Here is a 27,856-nt window from a genome sequence, read left to right on the forward strand (position 1 = left end):
CAAACATTGAGTGCAGACTTGGGCCAAGCAGTGGGCTAGGTCCTGGTAGTCCTAAGTGGGTCGGATGTGGTTTCTGTTCCTCATGGAGCTTGCAGTCTAGGGAGCAAATTGATGTTAGGCAATAATGCTAGAAAAAAAAGATAAAAATCACAGCTAGTAGATTGCAAAGGAATAAGTGGTCTGGCTTGTAATTATTGCTCAATTATTTCCTCGTTTCCCATTCCTCTCATGCCACCACTGTCATATTTCAACCACAGTTTTGTGTGTGTGTGTGTGTGTGTATGTGTGTGTGTGTGTGTTGAGACAGGATCTTACTCTGTCACCCAGGCTCAAGTGTAGCGGTGTGATCTTGGCTCACTGCAACCTCCACCTCCTAGGCTCAAGCAATCCCCTCACCTCAGCCTCCCAAGTAACTGGAAACACAGGTGTGCACCACCACGCCCAGCTAATTTATCTTGTATCTTTGGTGGAGACGCAGTTCCAACATGTTGCTCAGGCTGCTATACCACGATTTTACTGACAGGCATATCCCAGTTGGTATTCTACCAGCTCGTTTTCCACACTTGAGTGTGTCTAACAATCACCTGAAATATCCGTTAAAAATACAGGCAACTGAGGTCAATATGTAGAATTTCTTTTTCAAGAGTTTGGTGATGTAACCCCCAAACTGGATTTTAACCATCTCCTAGGAAATTCTGAAGTAGCAATCACCAGACCACACACTCAGAAGTGCCAGGTTTGAGAAATAGTTGTATTGTCTCTCTTTTTAATAATAGGTTATGAAAACACTTTAAAGTCATGTCATTCTGAATAAATTATATTCTCCCAAAAGCTATTTAATCTAGAACTTTTGCCTCACATTAATAATACTAATGATCTTTAGAGAGCACACACTATTGAATTATACTAGGATCTAAATCTTAACTCACTCCCCAAGGACACCTTTTGTTTCCTGGTATCTTTATTGCAAAAAACACTTAAATAATTTTTAAATTGCATCAATTATAATGGCTAAAAAGTAAGGAACAGCAAGAGAGCCACAACCAAAAAGAAAACTGACCACAGAGAGCCTTCCTGCCACAGGCACTGAGGACAGCAATCAACAGATGGTGCTAACTGCTGTGATTATTAAGCCAAACACATTTGTATTAGTCTATTTTCACGCTGCTGATCAATTCATACCCAAATTTATACAGGGAAAAGGGTTTAATGGACTTACAGTTCCACGTGGCTGGGGAGGCCTCACAATCATGGTGGAAGGCAAGGAGGAGCAAGTCATATCTTACATGGATGGCAGCAGGCAGAGAGAGAGAGCTTGTGCAGGGGAACTCCTCTTTTTAAAACTATCAGATCTCATGACACATGTTCACTATCATGAGAACAGCATTGGAAAGACTTGCCCCCATGGTGCAATTACCTCCTACTGGGTCCCTCCCACAACACATGGGAATTCAAGATGAGATTTGGGTGGGGACACAGCCATACCATGTTATTCCACTTCTGGCTCCTCCCAAATCTGACATCCTAACATTTCAAAACTAATCATGTCTTCACAACAGTCCTTCAAAGTCTTAACTCATTTCAGCATTAACTCCAAAGTCCACAATCCACAGTCTCATCTGAGACAAGGCAAGTCCCTTCTACCTATGAGCTTGTAAAATCAAAAGCAGGTTAGTTGCTTCATAGATACAATGGGGGTACAGGCATTGCATAAATACAGCCGTTGCAAATGGGAGAAATTGGCCAAAACAAAGGGGCTAAAGGAACCATGCAAGTCTGAAATCCAGCAGGGCAGTCAAATCTTAAAGCTCCAAAATGATCTCCTTTGACTTCATGTTTCACATCCAGGTCACACTGATGCAAGAGGTAGGTTCTCATTGTCTTGGGCAGCTCCACCCCTGTGACTTTGCAGGGTACACCCTCCCTCCTAGCTGCCTTCACAAGCTAGCATTGAGTGTCTGTGGCTTTTCCAGGCACACAGTGCAAGCTATCAGTGCATCTACCATTCTGGGGTCTGGTGGACAGTGGCCCTCTCCTCACATATCCACTAGACAGTGCTCCAGTAGGGACTCTGTGTGGAGGCTCCAACCCCACATTTCTCTTCCACATTACCCTAGCAGAGGTACTGCATGAGAGTCCCACCCCTGCAGCAAACTTCTGCCTGGGCAATCAGGCGTTTGCATACATCTTCTGAAATCTAGGTGGAGGTTCCCAAATCTCAATTCTTGACTTCTGTGCACTCACAGGCTCAACACCATATGGTAGCTGCCAAGGCTTGAAGCTTGCACCCTCTGAAGCCACAGCCCAAGCTCTACATTGTCCCCTTTCAGCCACAGCTGGAGTGGCTAGGACGCAGTGCACCAAGTCCCCAGGCTGCACACAGCACGGGGTTCCTGGGCCCAGCCCATGAAACCACTTTTTCCTCCTAGGCCTCTGGGCCTGTAATGGGAGGAGCTGCCACAGAAGTCTCTGACATGTCCTGGAGACATTTTCCCTATTGTCTTGGGGATAACATTCAGCTCCTTGTTACTTATGCAGATTTCTTCAGCTGGCTTGAATTTCTCCTCAAAAAATAGAATTTTCTTTTCTATAGCATTGTCAGGCTGCAAATTTTCTGAACTTTTATGCTCTACTTCTCTTATAAAACTCAATGCCTTTAACAGCACCCAAGTCAATTTTTGAATGCTTTGCTGCTTAGAAATTTCCTCTGCCAGATACCCTAAATCATCTCTGTCAAGTTCAAAGTTCCACAGATCTCTAGGGCAGGGGCAAAATGCTGCCAGTCTCTTTGCTAAAACATAACAAGAGTCACCTTTGCTGCAGTTCCCAATAAGCTCATCTCCATCTGAGACCACCCCAGCCTGGACCTTATTGTTCATATCACTATCAGCATTTTTGTCAAAGCAATTCAACAAGTCTCTAGGAAGCTCCAAAATTTCCCACACTTCCCTGTCTTCTTCTGAGCCCTCCAAACTTTTCCAACCTCTGCCTGTTACCCAGTTCCAAAGTCGCTTCCACATTTGTGGGTATCTTTTCAGCAATGCACCACCCTACTGGTACCAATTTACTGTATTAGTTCATTTTCATGCTGCTGATAAATACGTACCCAAGACTGGGCAATTTACCTAAAAAAAAAAAAAAAAAAGATTTAATGGACTTCCAGTCCCACATGACTGGAGAGGCTTCACAATCATGGCAGAAGGCAAGGGGAGCAACTCACATCTTATATGGATGGCAGCAGGCAAAGAGAGAGAGAGCTTGTGCAGGGGAACTCCCATTTTTAAAACCATCAGATCCCTTGAGATTTATTCACTATCATGAGAACAGCCTAAGAAAGACACACACCCCTGATTCAATTATCTCCCACTGGGTCTCTCCCACAACACGTGGGAATTACGGGTGCTACAACTTGAGATTTGGGTGGGGACACAGAGCCAAACCATATCAGTGAGGAAGGCATGTTAAAAGCTGAGATAGGCCAAAAGCTCGGCCTCCTGTGCCAAGGAGCAAGCCAAGTCGTGAATGCAAAGAAAAAATCCTGAAGTCAGTTAATTAAAAATGCCACTCCAGTGAGCACATGGATGATAGAAGGTTAAACAGGCCTATTGCTGATATGGAGAAAGTTTTAGTGGTCTAGATAGATCAAACCAGCCATAAAATTCCTTTAAATTAAAGCCTAATCCAGAGCAATAGCCTAACTCCTAAATTCTATGAAGGCTGAGAGAAGTGAAGAGGTTTCAGAAGAAAAGATTGAAGCCAGCAGAGAGATTGGTTCATGAGGTTTAAGAAAGGAAGCCATCTCCGTAACATAAAAGCGTATGGAGAAGCAGCAAGTGCTGATGGAGAAGCTGCAGCAAGTTATCCAGAAGATCTAGCTAAGATGACTGATGAAGGTGGCTACACTAAACAACATATTTTCACTGTCGATGAAACACCCTTATACTGTAAGACAGTGCCATCTAGGACTTTCATAGCTGGAGAGATAAAGTCAATGTCTGGTTTTAAAACTTCAAAGGACAGGCTGACTCTCATTATGGGCTAAATGCAGCTGGTGATTTTAAGTTGGAGCCAATGCTCATTTACCATTTGGATAATCTTAGGGCACTTAAGAATTATGCTAAATCTACTCTGCCTGTGCTCTACAAATGGAACAACACAACCTGAATGACAGCACATCTGTTTTGCAGCATGACTTAGTGGTTATTTTAAGCTCACTGTTGAGACCTACTGCTTGGAAAAACAGGTTCCTTTCAAAATATTACTGCTCGTTGACAGTGTATCTGATCACCCAAGAGCTCTGATGGAAATGTACATGGAGATTAATGTTGTCTTCATGCCTACTAACCTGGAATCCACTCTGCAGCCCATGGATCAAGGAGTAATTTTGACTTTCAATTCTTATTATTTAAAAATATATTTTGTATGTTTATAGAGCCATAGATAGTGATTCCTCTCTTAGATCTGGGCAAAGTAAATTGAAATTTTTCTGGAAAGGATTCACTAGAATGGCATCATTTAGTGATGCCATTTGGAAAAAATGTTATCTTTTTTGTAAAGAAAATTTTTGATTCACGGGAGAAAGTTAAAGTGTCAACATTAAAGAGAGTTTGGAAGAAATTGATTCCAACCCTCATGGATGATTTTGAGGGGTTCATTGAAGTCTTCAGTGGAGGAAGTAACTGTGGATATGGAAGAAGTAACAAGAGAACTCGAATTGGAGCCTGAAGATAATAACTGAATTTCTGCAATCTCATGATCAAATTTGAAGGGATGAGGCATTGCTTCTTATGGATGAGCAAAGGAAGTGTTTTTTTGGAGGTGGAATCTACTGGTGAAGATGCTGTGAACATTGTTGAAATTACAAGAAAGAATTTAGACTATTACAAAAACTCAGTTGATAAAGCAATGGTAGGGTTTGAGAGGACTGAATCCAATTTTGAAAGAAGTTCTACTATGGGTAAAATGCTATCAAACAACATTGCATGATACAGAAGAAATATTTTGTGAGAGTCCATAGATGTGGCAAACTTCACTGTTGTCTTATTTTAAGATATTGCTACAACCACCCAAACCTTCAGCAACCGCCAGCCTTATCAGTGAGCAGCCATCAACATCAAGGTAAGACCCTCCACCAATGAAAAGCTTATGACTTGCTGATGGCTGAGATGATCATTAGCATTTTTCAGCAATAAAGTATTTTTACATTAAGGTATGTGCCTTATTTTTTTAGACATAATGCTATTGCACACTTAATGGATTACAGTAGAGTGTAAGCATAACTTTTATATACAGTGGAAAACCAAAAAGTTCATATAACTCACTTTATTGTGTTATTAACTTTATTGTGGCGACCTGGATCCAGACCAGCAATATCGCTGAGGTATGCCTGTACTCAATTCAAAACTGAAGAAGACTGAAAAATCTGACTTGTGGGTTAAAAACAAAAGCACATCAGTGATCATGCATTATTTGTGTTTTACACTATAGCAATATAGCTAGCTACAGCCACAAAGAAAGTTGTTCTTCTGTGTATCTGAGTTTTCTAGAAAACTGAAATGTATCCTGTTGAATATTCCAATATTGTGTTTCAGATGGCTTATGGAATTTCTCTAACGTATTATGCACATCCCTGAAGATCCTACTGAATAGAATAGGTTACTATTTCTGAGATGGTTGAAGGGCATCATCATGAGTATCCAGCACTGGCTGCTGCAGGAATACCATGATCCGCATAGGAAATATGCTTATGGTAAAGGTCCTAGACTTTAAGGGTTTATTTGAGGTCTGCCAAGTTTTTCATTTGCTGCAGACCAGCTTTTTTTATGGCTTCTTCCTAAAGCCAGTATGCCTGTCTCCAGGAGCCCCTCCCTCTAATTTTGTTCTTTTGTTTGTTTGTTTGTTTGTTTGTTTGTTTTGAGATGGAGTGTGGCTCTGTCACCAGGCTGGAGTGCAGTGGCATGATCTCAGCTCACTGCAACCTCTGCCTCCCAGGTTCAGAGAGTTCTCCTGCCTCAGCCTCCCGAGTAGCTGGGACTACAGGTGCACACCACCATGCCCAGCTAATTTTTGTATTTTTAGTAGAAACGGGGTTTCACCATGTTGGCCAGGATGGTCTCAATCTCTTGACCTTGTGATCCACCCGCCTTGGCCTCTCAAAGTGCTGGGATTACAGGCATGAGCCACCATGCCTGGCCCTAATTTTGTTCTTTTAATTGCCAACGACAGGAAGCCAAAACAAAACATGCATGTATTTTAAGATCATACATAAAATAAAATTAAACATTCTAGGGTAGGGATTACATACTTCTGCCCCTCCGAGTTAACTATACAGACTTTGATACAAAATATTTAACTTTATGGATTCTTATTTTTGACTATTTAAAGATCTTAAAGTTTGTGCTTATTCTAGTTTATCAGATGCATTCTGGATAAGAGAAATCATCTAATATTGTGACCTTTGTATAAGTAAGAAAGAACCATAAAATCCCAGCCCTAAAGATTATAGACATATTCTACAACTTTTAAGAGGTGACTGCTTTTCTGTCCCAGTTCATTTTTTTACAAGTCATGCCTTAGAGTCATTCTCTAATATTAAGAGTGTGACCCTTAATATTTTTATCAGTCTGTTAAGTGACTAATGGTACCTCAGTGTAGTTTATTTTAATTAATAATTATTGAAAAGTTTGACCATGTTTTTACCTGTTTAAAAGCCATTTGTAATATCTTTTTTATGATGTATTCATATCCTTTGCCTGTTTTTCTATAGAATTTTGGTTGATTTTTTTAATTTATAAAAGTCCTTTGTAGAGTAGGAAAATTATTCTTTTGTCTGTGATTTAAGATTTTTCAGTTTTTCACTTGTCTCTTGACTGTAGTTACATGTTTTTTTTTTTCCTGTGGATTATTTTTATTTTAACATAGGCATGTTTACTTTTTTTTTTTTTAATGATGCCTAGGTCTTTGTCACACTTGGGCCTTCTCTGATGCAACCTTATATATTCAGATATAACATATGCATATATATGCACACATATATGTATGTGCCTATATGGAAAAGATATGTACAAATATATGTATGTATATATTTACATATGAATATATGTTTTTAAAGTATATGTTTAAAAAAGTTCATGATTTTTTCCTGGAACTTTTAAGTTTCATTGTTTACTTTTAAAGTCTGATCTCTCTGGAATTTATTTTGATTTGAAGTACAAAGTAATCTTCTTTATTGATTTAACACAAAAATATATTGTTCTCCCAACACAAGTTATTATTTACTGAATAATCTCTTTTAAAACCACTGATTTGAAGTGCCAAGTTTTATCATATAGTAGATTATATTTCGAACCACCCTATTTTAATTATTGTAGCTTTTTAATGCATTTTAGTATCTTATCACTGTTTTTATTCCTCAAAATTTTCTTTGGTATTCTTAATTTTTTCTACATAAACTTTAAAATTAGTCTAATTTTTTTAAAGCTCTATTTTTATTGAAATTTTATTAAATGTTTAGTATAATATAGGGAGAACTGACATCTTTTCAATATTGCATATTCCTATTGAAGAATAAGGTATCAATTTCCACTTATTCTAGTCTTTTTCCACAATTGTCTCAATTACTATAAATGACTTTTACAATTTGTTTCAACAGTAAAATAAAGCCCAGGCATAGTAATTTGTTGACGTGCATCTCAAATCTCTTAAGCCATCTGTTTCCCTGTTTCTCCAGCTCTCACTAACCTTTATTTCTATGTTACGTTTGTTGAAACTGATCAACTGTCCTGTACATTTTCCCACCATCTGGACCTTGCTGATGTACCCTCATGGTGTTGTTTATCATGTTAATCTGTCCTTATTTTGCTAAGAATACTACTTAAAAGATGAAGGATTCTAGTCTTTTCTGTGTTTATTCCTCAGCAGCATTTTATCTGTTCTTTTGTATAGATCCTTCTTATTTCTGTTTGAGTATATTTTTAGGGTTTTTAATAATATAACCTCTGTAGAGGGCAATTTGACAGTATTTATCAAAATTATAAGTACTTGTATCTTTTGACCCAACAATTTAACTTCTCAGAATTTATCCTGTGGAGATAATTGCCCACCTGTGAAATGCTATATATCTGAAATTACTTGTTGTGGCATTATTTATGTAGTAAGGTTGCGATAATCTAAATTCCCATTGGTGGAAGACTAATTAAATAAATACAGTGAAATGTTATAAAGATGATTTTTTTTAAATGAGAAGATTCTTTATGTAATGCTAGGAAATAGTATCCAACATATGCTGTTAAATGAAAGTAAAAATGTAAACCAGTGTATACGAATGTATATTATGTTGTTATTTCTGTAAGAAAAGGGACCATACATATACTGTATATACATAAGATATCTCTGGAAGATAACTTTGGTTGGTTTCACTGAGGGAAACTGGCTAAGGGACAAGGGAATGTGGGGAAGAGAATCTTCACTATATACCTTTTTATAACTTTTGCCTTTGTGCTCTGTTAGTGTTTTACCTGTTTAACTTTTTTTTTAGTTAAAACATTTAAGTACTGTAATGAAATAAATGACAGGTTAACATCCCAATAAATATATTTTATGTTTCAGACCTGTTGTAGAATTATTTGGCACAAGTAGGACCGATATGTTAAATGTCATCCACACTTAAGGAGTACCTTGCCAGCAAGTAAGACAGTTTAAAACTAGATGGACTGTGTGTGAGTGTGTGTGTGTGCGCGTGTGTGTGTGTGCGCGCACGCGCACGCACATGCACACATGGAATTTAGCAGAGTCGGTCTTTTACAGGGAATTCTTGCATTAAATTAACAGAAGTGAACCTGATGACCTCTAAATATCATCCAACATGGGCAGCATGGCATAGTGAAATAGTACGAGGCTTGAAGCCTTCAGATGAAGGTTCAGATCCCCTCTTCACTCCTTAATAAACTGTGTGAACATGTTATAGTATCTTCAACTTAATAGGTTTCAGTTTCTTAATCTACAAATGGGGTTGCTTCCATCTACCTATAGGCTTGTTATGAGCATTAGCAATAATTTATATTATGTCTGGAAGTTTGGTTCATTATACTGTTATTCCATCTCCACAGATCTATGAATGAATGATCCTTGGGGAGAAAATTGAGGTCAAAGATATATTTTATGGGAGGAACTTCTCCTTTCATTTTGAAACTTAGATATTTCTATCATATTCCTGAATGTTATTAACAATTCTCTAGATCTTTTACCTCCCATCCACTCACCTATGAAATTCTACAAGCAATACTAGAAGTGAGGAAATGTGACCGTACATCCCAACCTATTTGGGTAGCCCGCCTTGCACTTACCTCAAGTTGAGCTTTGCCTCTTACTGCTTTTCTTATTGGGATTTTAAAATTGTATATTCAAATATAGCTGTATAGATCTCTTATGGAGTAAAATCCATGATGCTCATGGCAACCCGATGTCCATCATGTAGTCATTCTCTGCAGGGCTAATTGTCTGTATTTTTAAAAAGTGAAGTCAAGAGAATTGTTTCATTTTATTCTAATTCATTTATGGACATGTCTTATCTCCATGACAGTCTCTGACACATACCTTGGAGTCATTAAAATATTCTCTGAAATTCAAGTGCAGTGGAGTGTACCTATAGTATCAGCTGCTCAGGAAGATGAGGCAGGAAAATTGCTTGAATAGCCATTGTATTCCAGCCTGGGCAGTATCTTGAGACTCTCTCTCTCTCTCTCTCTCTCTCTCTCTCTCTCTCTCTCTATATATATATATATATATATATATATATACACACACACACACACACACACACACACATGCATATATACATATACATATATACACATATATATGTATATGTGTGTATATATATGTATATATATATATTTCTCTGAAGTTTATCTGACACAACTAACTTTAACTTTTGGTAGTGCTTAAGACAAGAAGCAAATCAGAAGTTAAAAAACAAAAAGACTCCAACATATTTGCCTGCATTTCATCATGACTATTCTGAGAACTTTCAGTGGTTACCTAAGGAGAGGGACACATCCTAACTATACCAGGGCAGTGAATGCTATTGCTCACAATGTAAGATCCATTAATTACACTCCCCATTCTACCTGTCCAATGATGGGAAAAGCTTTAAGCTGCTATGTAAGCAGCTTGATAAGAGACAGTTTCCTGTTAGTGAGGACTGTTAAACTTGGATTTGATTCAGAAAAATAAATTAAATCCATTTCTCTCGAGATCTCCGAAAATAAGAGTGGTCGATTTACTATTTTAAGTGCCTTGTGAAGAACTACAATATTTCCCCTACTTTTTTTCACCTACACCAACATTAACATTGGCTGATTTCCTTGACACATCTTTCTACATAACTTCCTAAAGCTGTTACTATATTATAAATGTTGTCCTGAAAATTACAAGCAAATGTAACTAGAATACTTTGATAGAGCCTTTTTAAAATCTACTTATGTTTTAGTTGTTTGCCCACACTGCAATAAAAATTATAAGTTGTCTTTTCAGTCATTCACACTGATGAACAGGAACAGGAAACCAAAGTTTCTTTTAGAAATACCTCTATTACAATGTGTGTGGCAGGTTTATAAATAGAATTAACAGGCAGGTATTTTCAGATAGCTTTAGCACAGTGTTAGTCAATGTCAGGGAAATTTTTTTAAGTTTATGGGAGCTTTAAAAAACAAAACAGTAAAATTACTTTTGACACATTCTTTGTTACTTTGACTTTCACCACAGTCTATAGTCCTGAAAAAGACTGTTTATAAAGTAACGTACATAACTTAATTTCCCCAGGGTAAAATAAGTGTCAGCCACAAGTATTTTTGTGATTAAGAAAGAGCCACTTAACTTAGGTTGGTGTTCCATATCAGTTAGAGATTTCTTCTGTCAATTTCTAGCATTTCTACCACAAGTTTTTTTCTAAAAAAAAGAATTCTTAGAGGAAATAATAAAGATTTTTTTCCAGATATCTAAATTAGTATACATTTTTAAAAACATCATAATAACTCTATGAAATATAAAGTAGCAAAACAGCATATGAAAGTTCTCATCTTCAGCTTGGGACACAGCTAATGCTTAGTAAGTAGCAGATTGAGGCATATGAGGTTGCCAATATTTGACCACTTTGACTTATAAAAATGACAATTTCATGAGATTCAAGTTAATATTAGTATTCTTCCTTATTTGCATTGGTGTCAGAATCCCATTAGCCTAATTCATCTTACCAAAAGGGCCCTCAGATCTTGAGAAAATTATGGTTATTGGCCAAGATAAAAGTGTATCTGCATGGCTTCAGTAGCTACTGCAGCAAAGTGAACCTATACATTTCACCTCAAGAGAGTTTAGGGATGTTCTCAAACCTCATACCTGATCTTATAAAGCAGAGGTCCCCAATCCCTGGGCCATGGACCAGTACTGGTCAGTGACCTGTTAGGAACCAGGCCATACAGTAGGAGGTGAATGGTGGGCAAGCGAGAATTACCAACCCGAGCTCCACCTCCTGTCAGACCAGCAGCAGCATTAGATTCTCATAGGAGCCTAAACCCTATTGTCAACTGTGCATGTGAGGGATCTAGGTTGTGCACTCCTCATGAGAATCTAACTAATGCCTGATGATCTGAGGTGGAGCAGTTTCATCCCCAAACCATCCCCTCACCCCTGTCTATTGAAAAATTGTCTCCCACGAAACCTGTCCCTGGTGCCCAAAAGGTTGGGGGCCACTGTTATAAAGTACAGCAAGAAGTTAAAGCTAAAGGAGTAAAATAACAGTTGTGAGGCTGACATTGTAGTGGAGAGAGACACAGAATCCAAAAAAGCAAAAAAGGACAAAAACAAGCTACAAATATAATACAAATACCATTTAATATGGGTGGCTTTGATGTGTACGTATGACTAACAGCCCTATATCCTGCTGTCCTGTATTAAGATATCATTATATTATAATAACATGTTTCCAGTTCTGACTGTTCATTATCAAGATAAGTTTAAAACTGTCTTTGAATGCTCTAAAAGTCTGTGTGAATTTTAAGTGTGTGTTCTAGTAACTTCTCTGAAAATTTTACGTGATTTCCCAGCCCTTCAGGGTACAACGAAGTGTCACTTTATTATTATTATTATTATTATTATTATTATTATTATTATTATTATTATTATTTGAGACAGAGTCTCGCTCTGTTGCCCAGGCTGCAGTGCAGTGGCGCAGTCTCAGCTCACTGCAACCTCCGCCTCCTGGGTTCAAACAGTTCTCCTGCCTCAGCCTCCAGAGTAGCTGGGATTAGACACCTGCCACCACGCCCGGCTAATTTTTGTATTTTTAGTAGAGATGGGCTTCACCTGAAGTGTGACTTTAACACATGAATGATTAGAGGATGAGTCAGGCTACAACTCTGTTTATTAGCAAAACAATTGGGGAGCAACTTTATATCTGAGTATTTTTAGACTTTCAGGGACACAGCCAACTTTTAAAATTTTATTACACGAAAACATTTTAATAATAAAAAATTAGAAACTGTAATATGTTTTTAAATTCTGCATGAAAAACTGAATATCTCCTTGAACAATGTAGACCTAGTAGATGAAAAATACCACAAAAGTGGGTTGCTTTTTTCATCCTGTTTTTTCTGTATCCCTAGCATCTAGCTCAGGGGCTGGCACATAGCTGGCAAGAATACATATTTGTTGAATGAATGAATGGAGTGAATGCAATTCTAAGTATTGCATTAATATGTAAGTCCTTAGCTCATTAAATATCCTTTTTGTACAAGAAATTGTTCAGTAAAAATACTCTTTTCTCCACTGCACTCCAGCCTGGGCGACAGAGTGAGACCCCGTCCCAAAAAAAAGCGAAAAAAAAATACTCTTTTCTCACCTACAAAATGGGGGGAGGCCTTACCAGGTGTTTCCAGCATAAATATTCCACAGTCTTGTAAACAGGCAAGCCCACTGTCTAGGGAAGAGATCAAACAGTAGGGATTTCTTAAAGCATTAATGGGTAAGTTAAGACCATTAATGCCTGGCTTCGTTCCACAATGGCCTTGGGCCACATGCAACCTTGATTGATGATGACTTTTTACCCGTCTCTCTGAAACTACTTGCTGAGTTTTGTCTTAGGGCTTGTGTGTCACTTGTTTAGCTCTCCTGACATTAATCCAAAGGAAGTCATTCATTGGCAAGTACAAATTCTCCCCAATTATGCCAAAGAGAATTATTCATTACATTTTATGGAAAGCCCAAATCTTATTTCCAGGAGGGCTGGGGACCTGCCAGCTCACTGGGTTTTGTTGGCATTGATTGATTTTGCTTTCCCCAGGCTTTTAACCAAAAGCCTTTCGAATTCCAAATGGAGCCTCTTTATCATTTGAGATCTCCTGAAGACACGGAATTTGGTTTTAAATAAAAATATCTTAGCTAAGGACACATGTTTTGTGGGATTAATGCTACTAATTTTTCTCTGCTTTTGTTTTAAACACTTGAATTATGGGCTCTTTGGTCAAGAACCAATGTTAGGAAAAGTTGATCTGTTTAGCCTACTTCTAGCTGTGTCTGCACTGTTTAATGCAGTAGGCACTAGCCACATGTGACTATTTGATTAATCAAATTAAAAGTTAAGTTCCTTGATTTGACTAGTCAAATTGCAAGAACTCAATAGCCAAAAGTGGCTGCTGGCTGTCTCACTGGAGATGCACACATATGTAGTATTTCTGTCAGCACAGAAAGTTGTGTTAGACAACACTGGCAAAGACTATCTCCTTGACTGAACTTGAGTCAGACTCCTCTGAACTGTCTTCAGGCCCTGACCTTGGACTCTGTCCTTGACCTACTTGGTCCAGTTTTAGTAAGAATCCTGCTGAGTCAGTATAGCGAGAATCCCCTAGTCTTGATATGTGATAAAATTCCTCATCTTGCCCAACCTACCCCCATCATCCTCCATATCTTATCACTCTGGCCTGCCTTCACCAAGAATCCTGTCAGGTCAGTTTAAGTAGGGGCCCCCCTTATTCCTGATCTTTCCTCTTAGTAATTTTCCATCCACTGACATCCACTCTGCTCCTTGGCTATAAATTCCCACTTGTCCTGGTATTTGGAGTTAAACACGTTCTCTCTCTACTACTACAAAACCCCCACTGCAGTAGTCCTTCTTGAACAGTCCTCCTTATCATCTTTGACAATGTCATATTTTTTCTTTATTGACATTATCTTAAGTTCTAAAAGGACACAAAATATTCAAGTATTTTAGCTTTTAATTTTAAAAATTTCTTATTACCTAAGATGGGAAGAGGATTGACCAGAGATTTATTTATTCAACATTTATTTATTGAGTCAATACAGTTTCACAAGAGGTTATTGTAGTTGTGAAATATTCTTGGAGGTTTACAGCCTCTATCTCCCACTACACAGGTGATGTTGTGGTCCAGGGAAGCACCTGGGGAAAGCCCAAAAGCTTTTTGGAAGTCTCAGACACTGCTAAAGAAAGGGAGTCTTCTCTTCTGAGTCACAGTTCATCTTCATTTCACCCACCCTTCTCTCAATGCTGAGGAATTCAAATTTAATATATTAAATATATAAGAAAGTACTTTAGAAATTCTAGGGACTGTTGGCACTACATATTCTCTTAGTTGTTTCCAAACGTTTCCAGGGCTAGATTGTGTTACAGTTTGAATGTGCCCTCCAAAAGTTTACGTGTTGGAAACTTGATTGCCACTGTAACAATGTTAAGAGGTAGGGCTTTGGAGGTGATTGGGCTATGAGGGCTCTGCCCTCAGGAATGGATTAATGCTGTTATCATGGGAGTGGGCTGGTTATGGTAGGAGTTTGGCCTCCTTTTCCTCTCCATACTGCCCTCTCTCATCTTCTCTTGCCTTTTTACCTTTCAGCCTTCCACAATGGGATGACCCTCATCTGATGCTGGTGCCATGCTCTTGGACTTCCCAGCATTCAGAATCATTTGCCAAATAAACTTCTTTTCTTTATAAATTACCCAGTCTGTGGTTATTCTATTATAGCAACAGAAAACAGACTAAGACAACTTGTTAGTCCCCAAATGAGCAGGTCATCAGGCCCAGCTGTACTCTTGCATGCATGTAAAATAACCAAGAATTTTAGTCCTGTGTTACAGCCCAATGGGTTCTTCTTGCCTGCTGCACAGATAAAGCCAATACACTAAGACAACACTGTTGCAGCAGAGAAAGGATTTAATTATCGCAAAGCAGCTCAGCAGTAGAGTGGGAGATATTTCTCAAATTTGCCTTCCTGAGATCACAAAGGCTATGGTTTGTAAGGATAATTTGGTGGGCAGGGGGCTAGGAAATGGGTTTCTCTGATTGGTTGGGGATGAAATCATAGGAGATTCAAACTGTCTTTGGAAGCTGAGTCAGTGTCTGTGTGGGGATCACAGGACCAGTTGGGTCCGTTCGTTTGTGTGAATCACTGATCTGGGTGGCATCAGTTGGTCCACCTGAATTCAAAAGTCTGAAAAATATCTCAAAGACAAGTCTTAGATTTTGATAATAGTGATGTGATTTATAGGAGCAATTAGGAAAGTTTCAAATCTTGTGACCTCTGGCTACATGATTCCTGAGCAGTAAGCAAGCTAGAGAACAATGGCTGATTATCAGTTAACTATGCTTATAGGCTGGCAGAATTCAGGCCCTTACCATAATTCCCGAACAAGAAAGGAGTTAGTCTGGGGAAGAGGCTATTGTCATCATTGCTTTAAAGTTAAGCCATAAGCTAAATTCCTCTCATAGTTAGCTTGGCCAATGCCAAGGAATGAGCAAGGACAGATAGTTTGGGGGGTTAGAAGCAAGATGACATCAGCTGTGTTAGATTCATCCTGCTACGATAATCTTTGCAAAGACAATTTCAACTGTAGCACAGCCAGGTCAGTGCTAGTTGCTATGTGATCAGTAATTCCAAGCTACAGAGTTCTACCAAATCATTTTGGGCTATCATTGATACCGTACAAATTCAAGCAATGATTAAGTGATTAAGAAAAGCCTAATATTCCAGTACCTTCCTAGTCTAATTATTGGATTATTCTATGAAAACACATATTTTTAAAAGAAAAATTTCTAGCTTAAAAATTTTTTTAAACCGATTAAATGGTAATTATTTTTAAGAAGGTTATAATCTTGACTCTCATACAAATGCAAAACGAACACATATCAAAGTTTTTTTAGCTCAATAATTAATGAGATAACCAGTAAGCTATGAGAACCAATTCAGGAAAGGATCCAAAAAGCAAATGAATATATAAGCCTTCAGAAATACCAAAATACATTTGCTTAATAGATGCAAACTGGCCAATATCCACAGGGCAATAATCAATTGCATTCCACTATACATGTATATTGTGCATTATTATGGACTAGAATCATTTGCCTCATGACCAGTTTTCTACAACATAGAGAGTTGTAAAATTGTTCAAAGAAAACTTCAAAACCCATAGAGTCAGATAACCTAGAAATGTATGTTTTCGATAATACCTAGTTTTCATTGAAGACATCCAGTAATCATCTTGGCCCATTCCCAAATCTTCCATAATTTTTTCTTCCGGTAAATTAACTCTTCATATATTACTCTGTCCATGGTTATGCCCTTTTGATGTACCTGGCCATTTTCTCAAGTTCATGTTATTTGAGAGATACATGAGGAGCTCTCCCTTTTGTTTGATTCAATAGTACAGAAAAAAAGAGCACGTCTCCTATTACAAACTCCAAGTTAAGAGGTATGGGAAGGGTCACAGTGAGCTGGGTAACTAGAGGGAGAGGCAAAAGAAAGAGAAAAAGGAGAAAGGATTAAATCATTTATATCATAATTTCATGGATAGTATTATAGAATTAAACCTCTTTGTAGTCACTTATTTCACAGGTTCTGGCCCATTGGCTTTAAGAGGCATCTCAGTTTAGTAATGGTTTCTTGGAGGAGAAAGAAAATTTGAAAAGGAAAAAATATATACTTCTTTAAAAAATGGAGTATATTTATACCATGGCATATTATTCCCTCAGTAAACAACGGTTTAAACCTTTTTAACATTCTTTTGAATCACTTTGTCCATCATTTATCATGCATATGACTTGATACTTTCATAGTGCATTTCCTGATTGAAACCTTTTTAGCAGCTTTGTGATTGAAAATGTAATCTTAAAGCATTTCAAAGAATACTGGGATATTTTCTACATAATCCACCCTATACTCCTACTCTCTCTACACACTCCAATTTAATTATATACCTGAGGTTACACAGCTAATTTTGAAAGTTGTAAGGAAGGTTTTGATAGCTTACCGCCTAAGCAGTTGTCCTCAGCATAGCATTCATGGGTTATTCACTTTTCCTAGCTTTGAAAACACTGTGATCTATTCTGTAAGACTGACAAATCCTTCTGCCTTTAACTGTGCTGGTTGGCATCCAACAGACAGTCCTTTTGAATAACCCAAGGCCAAAAGATTTATTAACTTGCACAGATTTATCTACTTCCATGTGTTTTCTATTCTTGGGTCCTCTGTAAAACATTTAATTGTTATTTTACAAGAGAATCACTTGGTTCATTCCTTGAGTGATGAATGTTTGCATCACTTGCAGTAAATTTACATCCTGTGGTGCTCTTCATTCTCTTCTGCATACACAGTACTTTTTCTGTTCACTTCTGCCATCACAGTACAGTCCTATTGAGGACAAGTCCACATCCAAATTTAAGGAAAACTACTGTGAGAGGCAGGACCAATGGAAACAATTCAACTGAGCGAACAAGGATAAACAAATAGCCTAAAGTACACACTTGTCTAGGCAATGGCTCATGCACAGAAAATAACAGCTCTAACACATAATTGTCTGTGTGATGATCAGCTGATTTCTTTGGACATTGATTATAAGATTTATTAGAATTGGGAAAGGGAAGGAACACTATGCATGAGGAATTTGCAAAATTACAGATTTCTAAAATACAGATTGTTTCACAAAGTGTGACCCCCTTTTCTTTTGACAAGTTTTTTTGACAAAGTTCCTAGCTTCATTGCTGCTGATCTAATTGTGCCTTTCTCTTAGCAAATCAGGAAACACAGGCCCGGAAACTTTCACTTATTCCAACTTTCACCAAGGTAGCTAGTATTAACCAAAGTTAAAGCAGTGGATTCCAAACTCCCAGTTTTCCAAACACCATGATAAAGTTTTCACCAGTCTGTGGCAAAATGAAAAAAACAAAGTAGTAATTTTTATGAGTTCAAAAATATCTACTTCAAGGGATTGTTTTATTTTCATGTTGAAATATTCATTTTTTATGTGATTGATGTAGTCATTCTTTTGTATGATTAAAAGAGGCATTATTTTTGTAAATTTTTTTGCCGCCACCCCAATATATTAGCAGAACAAAAATTTAGTAGCCCTATGTAGGTTCTTTCAATTAAAGGAATTACTAGTCCTTTACATACAAAAGTCTGAGAATTAACAGGCAGGGAACTTCTAATACAGTGTTCTTTTTGTTAGGCATTTCTCCCTAGTTATTTCTTTTGGCCTTTTTTTTTTTTTTTTTTTTTTTTTACTGGAGAAAGGGCCTCCCTCAAGCATTTTTCTCAGCTACCAAAGGACACTTCTCTCTTTTTCTCAACTCACAATTATGAAACCATTTTTTATAATTTTAAAATAATTGGGTTATAAAAAAGATGCATTTGTGAATAATCAATACCTTATAAATTAGATGAACTACCAGGGAAGTTAAAAAACACTATCTTTTTTTATAATGCGGACTTTCAGTTTTGTGATTCATCATACCTCAATTACAAGAAGATTTAGTTCCCTTACTTGTTTTAATGAAGTGTTTTCTAAAGTAGTATACACATATACACTTATATGCAACTTACTCTACCACTGGTAACCAAGAAGAGAAATGCAAGAATTAAGGATAGTTTATTCATAGCTAACCTACTTCTACCTTTTCTACTACCATAGCACTGTCTATTACTATTCTGGTACTGCAGCCTCTTGTTGTTTTTATGTAAAGGCATTTTACAGAGTAGCTAGAAAAATAATAAATCTCCAATGTAATTGTCTATGTGAAAGTAACTCATTTGAGAATGTATTGATTATTATGATTAATAATAGGGCCCTGGCATTTTGTAGACTAATGTTAATATTGTAATATTTTGGTACCACCTTCTGCGATTGTTCAAGGTAGTGTACTTGTTATTATATTACGTGTCCAGTCATTGGTGACAATACCACTTTGTCAGGCTGTAAAGATGGAAACACTTTTTCAAAGAGAAGAAAAAATTGAGCTGCTACCCCTGGGCTCAAAGTAGATTAGCCTTAATAATTTAGAAGTGACAACTACTCTTGCTGTTCCTTCTGAAACAGCATTATGGGCCTTTACTTGTCACACTATATTAATTTAATAAATATTTATTTGGCACCTACTATGTGTAATTAATTAGGTGCTCATTCTGATTATCTTAAGACATACAAAGATGAATATCCTTCCATTTGTGTCCTCAAAAAGCTTAGGACAAGAGATGATCCATGTATGAAATTACCTGTAACAGAAGGAAGCAGTGATATGTGCTATTGGAGAGGTAGAGATAAAAATTTGCCAAGATTTCAAAGGAGGGAGGAAGTTGCTGTTTTAATTGAAGAACCAAGCGGGTATTCATGAAGGAGACGAAAATAGAACAGAACCTTGAGAAGTGCTTTGGATTTGAACATATGGAACTTGGGCTAGGTTCGTTTCAGAAAGAGAACTACACAAGCCAGTAATAGGAGAGGAAAATTCTGGTGTATCTGATGCAAAACGGAGTCTGGCTAGAGTTACAGGATCCATGAAGGAGAGTAAGTAGAAAGTTGTGCTGCGTCACAGTACAAATGCTGTGTTATGTTCAGGACTAAAGATTTTGGGCTTTGGTCTACAGGGATGAGAGAACTCCTGAGGTTTTGTAAACATAGGAATAGCCTGGTCATAAGGAGTATCAAGACAATTGATCTGGAGGCTCAGCATATGTTGGATTGAAGAGGCCAATAACCAGCAGTTCAGAGAGTGGCTGGAAACCAGAACCATTGGTATAGTCCTTGAGATACATTGAGAGGAAGAACTGCCATTGTGGCCATGGGAATGGCCATGGGATGATCAACAGGAGAGGTCCCAGGGTGCAACATGGAATGAGTGTTTGACAATGAATTGAACATGAGGGAAAAAGAGATGGAGGGGAGTCAAATGCTTTGACATTGAAAGAAAAAAGAGTAGGTTTGATTGATAAGATAAGGAGTCCTGTTTGGGCCTCCTTGAATTCAAACTGCTGGCAGGCATCAACGAATAAATATCCCAAGAACAATTACCAATGCATATCAGAAATTAAGATAAAAATGAAGCCAGAGCTATAATTTTACTTATTTGGGAATAGTCTTAATAGATATAATAGTTGAAGTATCTTTGTTTTGAGAGTTCACCAGTGGGCATGAGAAGTGTACTACCAAGAAGAGAGAAGGGCCAGGACTAGATCTGTGGAGAATATCAACACTTAAAATGTAGAACAAGGAAACCACTCCCTCCAGCGCCCACCCAGCCAAAAACCTAGAAACTAAAAATAACCACCCAACATTCAGGAGAAGTCAGAGGTAGCAGAGGCAAAGGAGGGAGCCAGCAACCAGCAACCAGCAGCAGAGAGGCTAGAGTAGACTAGCAGAGGTAATTTTGCTTGCAAGCTGGACATCTTGCCTTCAAAAGGAAGAAAGATCACTTAACTGTGGATAGACACGTGTGTTTCCAGAGCAGAGTTCTTTCAGCTCTCTGAAAGAGTTCCCTGACAGGACCTGCTCCCACAATTCACAGCCACATGGTCCAAATTTCTTGGCAGAATGTGTCATCAGTGGCCTGCTGCCCACTGCCCTGGCAGAGGCCCTCTCCCACAAACATAATGGGAGCTCTTTCCAGGAGTCCAGAAGCCCAAAGATACATCTGTGGTTTTGACATCCCATTTTCCCCAGTAAGAAAAACCTGCAGAGCTGCAGGTCCATCTAACATTGCTTTTTTTTTCTATCTGACCATCTGTAACCTCTGTAAACCAGAGGTTTTTAACCTGAGGTCAGTGAATATTCTGGCCAGTGGATATAATTTTCTGCTATCCATGTGCATGTATTTTCCTGCAGGGATGATTTATTCTTCTCATTCTTAAAAAGATCTATTTTCTTAAAGAGCCACTGTAATATTAATTGTACACTCTTGCAAATAATGTGAGTTCCTTGAGGACAAGAGCCTGTCCTTATAAATTTTGATAACCTCATGGAACCTCTATCAGTCTTGGCTGAATGAATGGCTAATGGTGCTACATTAGTTGGGCAACAGAGATGATTGTATTAGTCCGTTCTCACACGGCTATGAAGAAATACCCGAGACTGGGTAATTTATAAAGGAAAGAGGTTTAATTGACTCACAGTTCCACATTGCTAGGGAGGCCTCAGGAGACTTACAATCATGGTGGAAGGCAAAGAAGAAGCAGGCAACTTCTTCACAGGGTGGCAGGATGGAGAGAGTGCAAGCATGGGAAATGACAGATGCTTATAAAACCATCAGATCTTGTGAAACTCACTCACTATTATGAGAACAGCAATGGGGAAGCTGCCCTCATGATCTAATTACCTCCACCTGATCCTGCTCTTTACCAGATTGGGGATTATGGGGATTACAATTCAAGATGAGATTTTCGCTGGGGACATAGCAAAACCATATCCATGATAAAAATACTCATTTTGGTTCTCTGACCTATTGTTTAACTTAAAAAAATATAGATACCTAGGAAACATTTTTTCATAATGTCCTCTGTTAGAATAACTTGTTGTTAAAATGAGTGCTTCGCCCCAAGCATGGTGGCTCACACCTGTAATCCCAGCACTTTGGGAGGCCGAGGCGGGTGGATCATGAGGTCAAGAGATCGAGACCATCCTGGCCAACATGGTGAAACCCCGTCTCTACTAAAAATACAAAAATTAGCTGGGCGTGGTGGCATGCGCCTGTAGTAGTCTCAGCTACTTGGGAGGCAGAGGCAGGAGAGTCGCTTGAACTCGGGAGGTGGAGGTTGCAGTGAGCTGAGATCTCACCACTGCACTCCAGCCTAGCAACAGAGCGAGACTGTGTCTCAAAAAAAAAGAGTGCTTTGCACACTCTCTCTTATTTATTTCCTTAATAATTTTGCAGAGTGCGGATTAATACCTTTTTTCATTAATGAGGATGCTAGGGCTGAGAGAATTCATGTGACTTGCTGAGGGTCAAACAGCATGATAGCCAACTTGGGACTTACATCCAAGTCTTTGTTCTCCAAGTCTTATATATTGTCCCACTTATCCAAGGACTGGAGAGCCAGGTTAGTTTAGTAGGTAAAACCCTGTAAAGATGGCTTGGGCTCTAATCCTGGCTCTAGCACTTCCTGTGTGACTTTGGGCAAATTCCTAACCTCTGTAAGCCTGCATTTCCATTAATAAAATGGAGATAATAAGTGTCTGTACTTATAAGGTGATTGCAAAGTTTAAATAAGATAGTTGTTTTAAGTATTCAAAAATGTTAACTATTATTATTATCATCTCATGGTACGTTCATTTGTAAACAAAAATGCCTGGGATCATAGTAGATTTTGCCTTGTTTTATGGAATGCTTATTGGCAATAGGTTGGATTTTGTTTTATACAAATACAATATTTTTCTTAGCCTAAAATATGATATTCATGTTAAATGCAGTGGTTTCCAAATAGTTGTGTTATTGACTGACAGATACAAGTATCATACAGTAAATTTAATTGCTTGGTCTTACACACTTATTGCCTAATGACAGAGATATATTTGAACAAATGAGTCATTAGGCAATTTCACTCTTGTGGCAACATCACCGAGTATACTTACACAAACCTAGATAGCATAGCCTACTACACACCTGGGCTATATGGTATTACGTAGCTCCTCGGCTACAAACTTGTACAGCATGTTACTGTACTGAATATGGTAGGCAGTTGTAACACAGTGGTATTTGTGTATCTAAACACAGAAAAGGAATAGTGAAATACACTATAACCTGCCTTTCCAGTCCTTGGATAAGTGGGACAAGATATAAGACTTGGAGAAGATAGGCCGGGTGTGGTGGCTCACGCCTGTAATCCCAGCACTTTGGGAGGCCAAGGCGGGCGGATCACTTGAGGTCAGGAGTTCGAGACCAGTCTGGCCAACATGGTGAAACCCCGTCTCTACTAAAAATACAAAAAAAAAATTAGCCGGGCGTTGTGGCAGGCGCCTGTAGTCCCAGCTACTTGGGAGGCTGAGGCAGGAGAAAGGCGTGAACCCGGGAGGCGGAGGTTGCAGTGAGCCGAGATCGCACCACTGCACTCCAGCCTGGGCGACAGAGGGAGACTCCGTCTCAAAAAAAAAAAAAAAAAAAAGACTTAAAGAAGATAAAATATGATGTACCTGTAAAGGACACTTACTATGAATGGAGCTTGCATGGGTAGAAGTTTTCTGGGTAAATCGGTGAATGAGTGGTCAGTGAGTGTGATGCCTAGAACATTACTGTATGTTACCGTAGAATTTATAAACACTGTATACTTTGGCTATACTAAATTTATTAAAAATGCCTTTCTTCAATAATAAATTAACTTTCACTTACTGTAACTTTTATACTTTATAAAGTTTTAAATGTTTAAAAAACTTTTTGACCGTTTTGTAATGCCACCACATCTGGCTCCAGTAGTGTACAGCAATGTCCTAGGCTTCATATTCACTTACCTCTTACTCACTCACTTACCCAAAGAACTTCTACCCATGCAAGCTGTGTTCAGTAAGTGTGTAAGTGTGTAACAACACTTAAAACACAGACACATCATACAGCTGTACAAAAGCATTTTCTTTCTTTATATCCTTACTCTATAAGCTTTTTTTCTAATTTTCTACTTTTTATTTTTATATTTTTACTTTTTAAACATTTTTGTTAAAACTTAAGACACAAATACACATATTCGCCCAGGCCTGCACATGATCAGGTTAATCAACATCACTGTCTTCCACCTCTACATCTTATCCCACTAGATGGTCTTCAGGGGCAATAACACCCATGGAGCTGTCATCTCCTGTGATAACAATGCCTTCTTCTGGAATACCTCCTGAAGGATCTGCCTGAGGCTGTATAACAGTTATTTTTTTAAAATGATAAGAAGTATGGTATAGTAAATACATAAACCAGTAACACAGTCATTTATTATCATTATCAAGTATTGTGTATTGTATGTAATTGTGCTATACTTTTATACAACTTGCAGTACAGTAGGTTTGTTTAAACCTATCACATGCGTCACCACGAGTAAAGCTTCTGCCTTTTCCTGGAGTTCTCTGGAGTACAAAAGGAAGTAAGAATGCCAAAGCAGTGGCAGCCCCCCAACGGTGGCTGAAATCAGTAGACTGGCAGGGCTGCTGTGCTCTTGGCACCTGGCTTTATCCTAATGCTGCATGAGTGACAGAGCCTGCCCCGCAGCAGTGCACTCCATCTCCCATTAGCTGTCATCCCATTAGCAACGGAGGTGGTGAGAGTTCATATTTACAAAGAGGCTGAGACTTACCTTCCTAAACAAGCAATAACTATTTAAACTTCCATACAAATGCAGGAGGGTGAAGGGGTGAGGGCAGAGGACGTTGGAACTTTTCAGACAAAAAAACTGTTGCTTCTAACATGAAAATGTGAAGGACTTACAAAGTCACCAGGCAGTTCTCTGAAATTGGAGTTACAAATAAATGTTACAGGACTGATTAGGATCTTCTAATTCATAAGCCTGTTGGAATCACTCTGCTCTTCAGTTAAATGTGTATGTACTCTGTTAATTGAATAATGGAGACTATTAATGCTCAACCATAATTAAAATACAATTTTCCAAATGCATTTGCTCAATATCACTTGACATGTTGTTTTAGTGATTTTTTTAAATGATCAAGAACAAGTAAGTTACTTAATTGTATGAATAAACAGTTTAGCTTTCCAAATGCCTGCAGTGACAAAATGGGAGAATACAAAGGAAAGAGGAAATCGTGTCCCCAGTGTGCACAAGTCAGGCTGTTTGTGGGAAGACAGGGCTTCTGGAACACTGGCATGCCAAGAAGCAGAGATATTATTCAGAGATATCTGGGCACTGACGGTGCTTTTTTTTCTCCAAGAGAAAATGTGGCCTTGATGCCCTTCAATTTGGTTCAAGAACCTGATGAGCCTGATAATTAGAAATATTAATTTAAATAGAAACACCAGTTTGTTTGGTGTAAGCTGAAATGGTAACATAAGCCTGAATATAAATGGACTGTGTCGTAGCAAGAATTCAGCCTCATTCTCAACTTTGGTAGGGGGCTCCTCCCTGCCCAAAGATTGTCACTGGGAGAGCAGCAACCTCCTAGGAACCAATACGTGAGGAACAATCACACAAGGATGTGCTGAGTCTGCTCCTTCTCTGGTTTACCACTTCCTGTGGACTCTGCAACCTGGAATGAATAAACTGGGATTTGAGGCAGGTATATGTCTGATCTCCGCTCACCAGTTGGTAACCCAGCTGCAAGGTGCATTTACTTTATAAATGGGTGCAGTGACATTTTCAAATGCCTAGTGGTGCTAGTTCATCTTAAGCCCTGTAAATATCTTTTGGTTTTCATTATACTTGTCCTAGACCTATGTAGTTTAGTGAAAGCTAGAGTAAGTCCATTCAAAGTCATGATCAAACTGTATTTGGCGAGGCTATGAAAAACTGATAAATTAGTTTCACCAAACATGACTTGTAATTACTTGTTGTATAAGTAACTATACATACTCTTAACCCCGTGAAGGTGGGGACCATGGTATCTTGTTCCTGGGAGAATCCTCAGAACTTAGCAGTGTTATTTGTTCATTTAACTGTTAATTGACTTTTTAAAAGTAGAACCTCCCAACATATCCTTCCATGAGACTTTTGTTATAGAGATAACTAATAATTAATATGTAAATTGTTGTTTTTTAGGCTTGAAACTGTTACAATATGGCTTTCCTTGGACTCTTCTCTTTGCTGGTTCTGCAAAGTATGGCTACAGGGGCCACTTTCCCTGAGGAAGCCATTGCTGACTTGTCAGTGAATATGTATAATCGTCTTAGAGCCACTGGTGAAGATGAAAATATTCTCTTCTCTCCATTGAGTATTGCTCTTGCAATGGGAATGATGGAACTTGGGGCCCAAGGATCTACCCAGAAAGAAATCCGCCACTCAATGGGATATGACAGCCTAAAAAATGGTAAGAGTGATCAGGTTTGATTTCTCAAGACTTTTGAATTTGACTTTGACTCAGTTATGTTGTATTCTTATTCTAGACACAGCAATATTTACACAGGGTAAAAAACAATCTCATTGAAATGGTATGGCTAGAAGGATTAGGAAACCCAAGAAATGTGTTAATTCCTGATTCCACTTCTGGCTGAATGAATCTAAGGAAATTACATCTTTTAAAAATTATTATGATTTACATAAACTCCTTGTGATCAAAAAAAGCAAACATTTTTCTGGAGTTTTCAGTGTAGAGAGAGAGGCACATATTTATCGCACAAATAAATGAAAAATTACAAATATGATGAGTACTACAAAGAAAGACAGCATGGTTTGCTAAGAATATCAGAAATTTTTGCTTAAAATCAGCAGTATCCTCTTGTTTAAATAGCATCCAAGATTTTTTTTGAAGTGTTATCTTATTATAAAAATTCTATGTATTGGGGGAAATTTCTAGCCTAATGGTATTTTGTAATCACTTTGACATGATGTTTGATTTCTATTTTAATGCTCTGATATACGTGTGAATTAGCTCATTAAAAAGTTAAAAATTAAAACAATTTCTAATGGCTTTTCTAGTTTTAAAATTAAAAGGTCTACTGAGTAAAATGTAAAGGATGATCTTGAATTTTAAACTAGGTACTTTTTTCTAATAGTATAAAAGAAGTTTAATTTCATCAAAGTAACCTAGTAATTTGGAAGAAAACAGTCTCTATAGATTGTAGCAAAATAACAATGAAATAAAAAATAATATCAGTAGATGATATTAACTTGCAAAAAGTTAATTTGAGCATCTAGAAATAGTACAAGTATTGGACCATATCAATGTGGGGGAAAGCCTGGCACTTTTCCCCCAGGTGCCTGTTTGGTTAATCTCCCTTGCTGTGCTTTAATGCTCCTCCACTCTCCTTGACATTTCACCGTGTTTGTTCTACAAATAAACTTATCCTTTCTCATCTTTCAGGTGAAGAATTTTCTTTCTTGAAGGAGTTTTCAAACATGGTAACTGCTAAAGAGAGCCAATATGTGATGAAAATTGCCAATTCCTTGTTTGTGCAAAATGGATTTCATGTCAATGAGGAGTTTTTGCAAATGATGAAAAAATATTTTAATGCAGCAGTAAATCATGTGGACTTCAGTCAAAATGTAGCCGTGGCCAACTACATCAATAAGTGGGTGGAGAATAACACAAACAGTATGTCACTTGGTTCCTTTCTTCCTCTAGTAGCTTAGTTTTAACTGTCTTTAACTTCTGAAAGTATTTCCTCCTTGTTCCTTTTGCATTTTGAATGTTTGAGAGCATTTAGTTGGGTATCTAATAATTATTTTGTATAGATTATGGCCTATTTGAGAAACATTGTTATGAATGAACATTTGAGAAAGAAGTTAAATCTTTTGGCATATATAGAATTTGGCAGTGATAATCTGAAATCTTTACTCTCTGATTGATGGGTTTCCTCTGTAATCTTAACCACTTTATGAAATTTTGCTTGTCCTATTTAATAAATTAGTTACTAGATAGAATGGCAGTTGGCTTTCATAACAA

General features: G+C 37.9%; 1 protein-coding gene across 3 annotated transcripts in view; it reads left to right on the top strand.

Moving 5' to 3' along the window:
• The window catches only part of SERPINI1 (serpin family I member 1), an 89,849-nt gene that overhangs the window by 27,377 nt on the left and 34,616 nt on the right, over positions 1–27,856 (top strand). For all 3 annotated transcript variants that reach the window (NM_005025.5, NM_001122752.2, XM_017006618.3), the window contains exons 2-3: positions 26,014–26,281; positions 27,275–27,505. In NM_005025.5, coding sequence (NP_005016.1) covers positions 26,032–26,281; positions 27,275–27,505 — 481 coding nt within the window. In that variant the 5' untranslated portion in view covers positions 26,014–26,031. The remainder of the gene's footprint in view (positions 1–26,013; positions 26,282–27,274; positions 27,506–27,856) is intronic.

This window comes from Homo sapiens, chromosome 3, assembly GCF_000001405.40.
Source record: "Homo sapiens chromosome 3, GRCh38.p14 Primary Assembly".
Taxonomy (NCBI): Eukaryota; Metazoa; Chordata; class Mammalia; order Primates; family Hominidae; genus Homo; species Homo sapiens.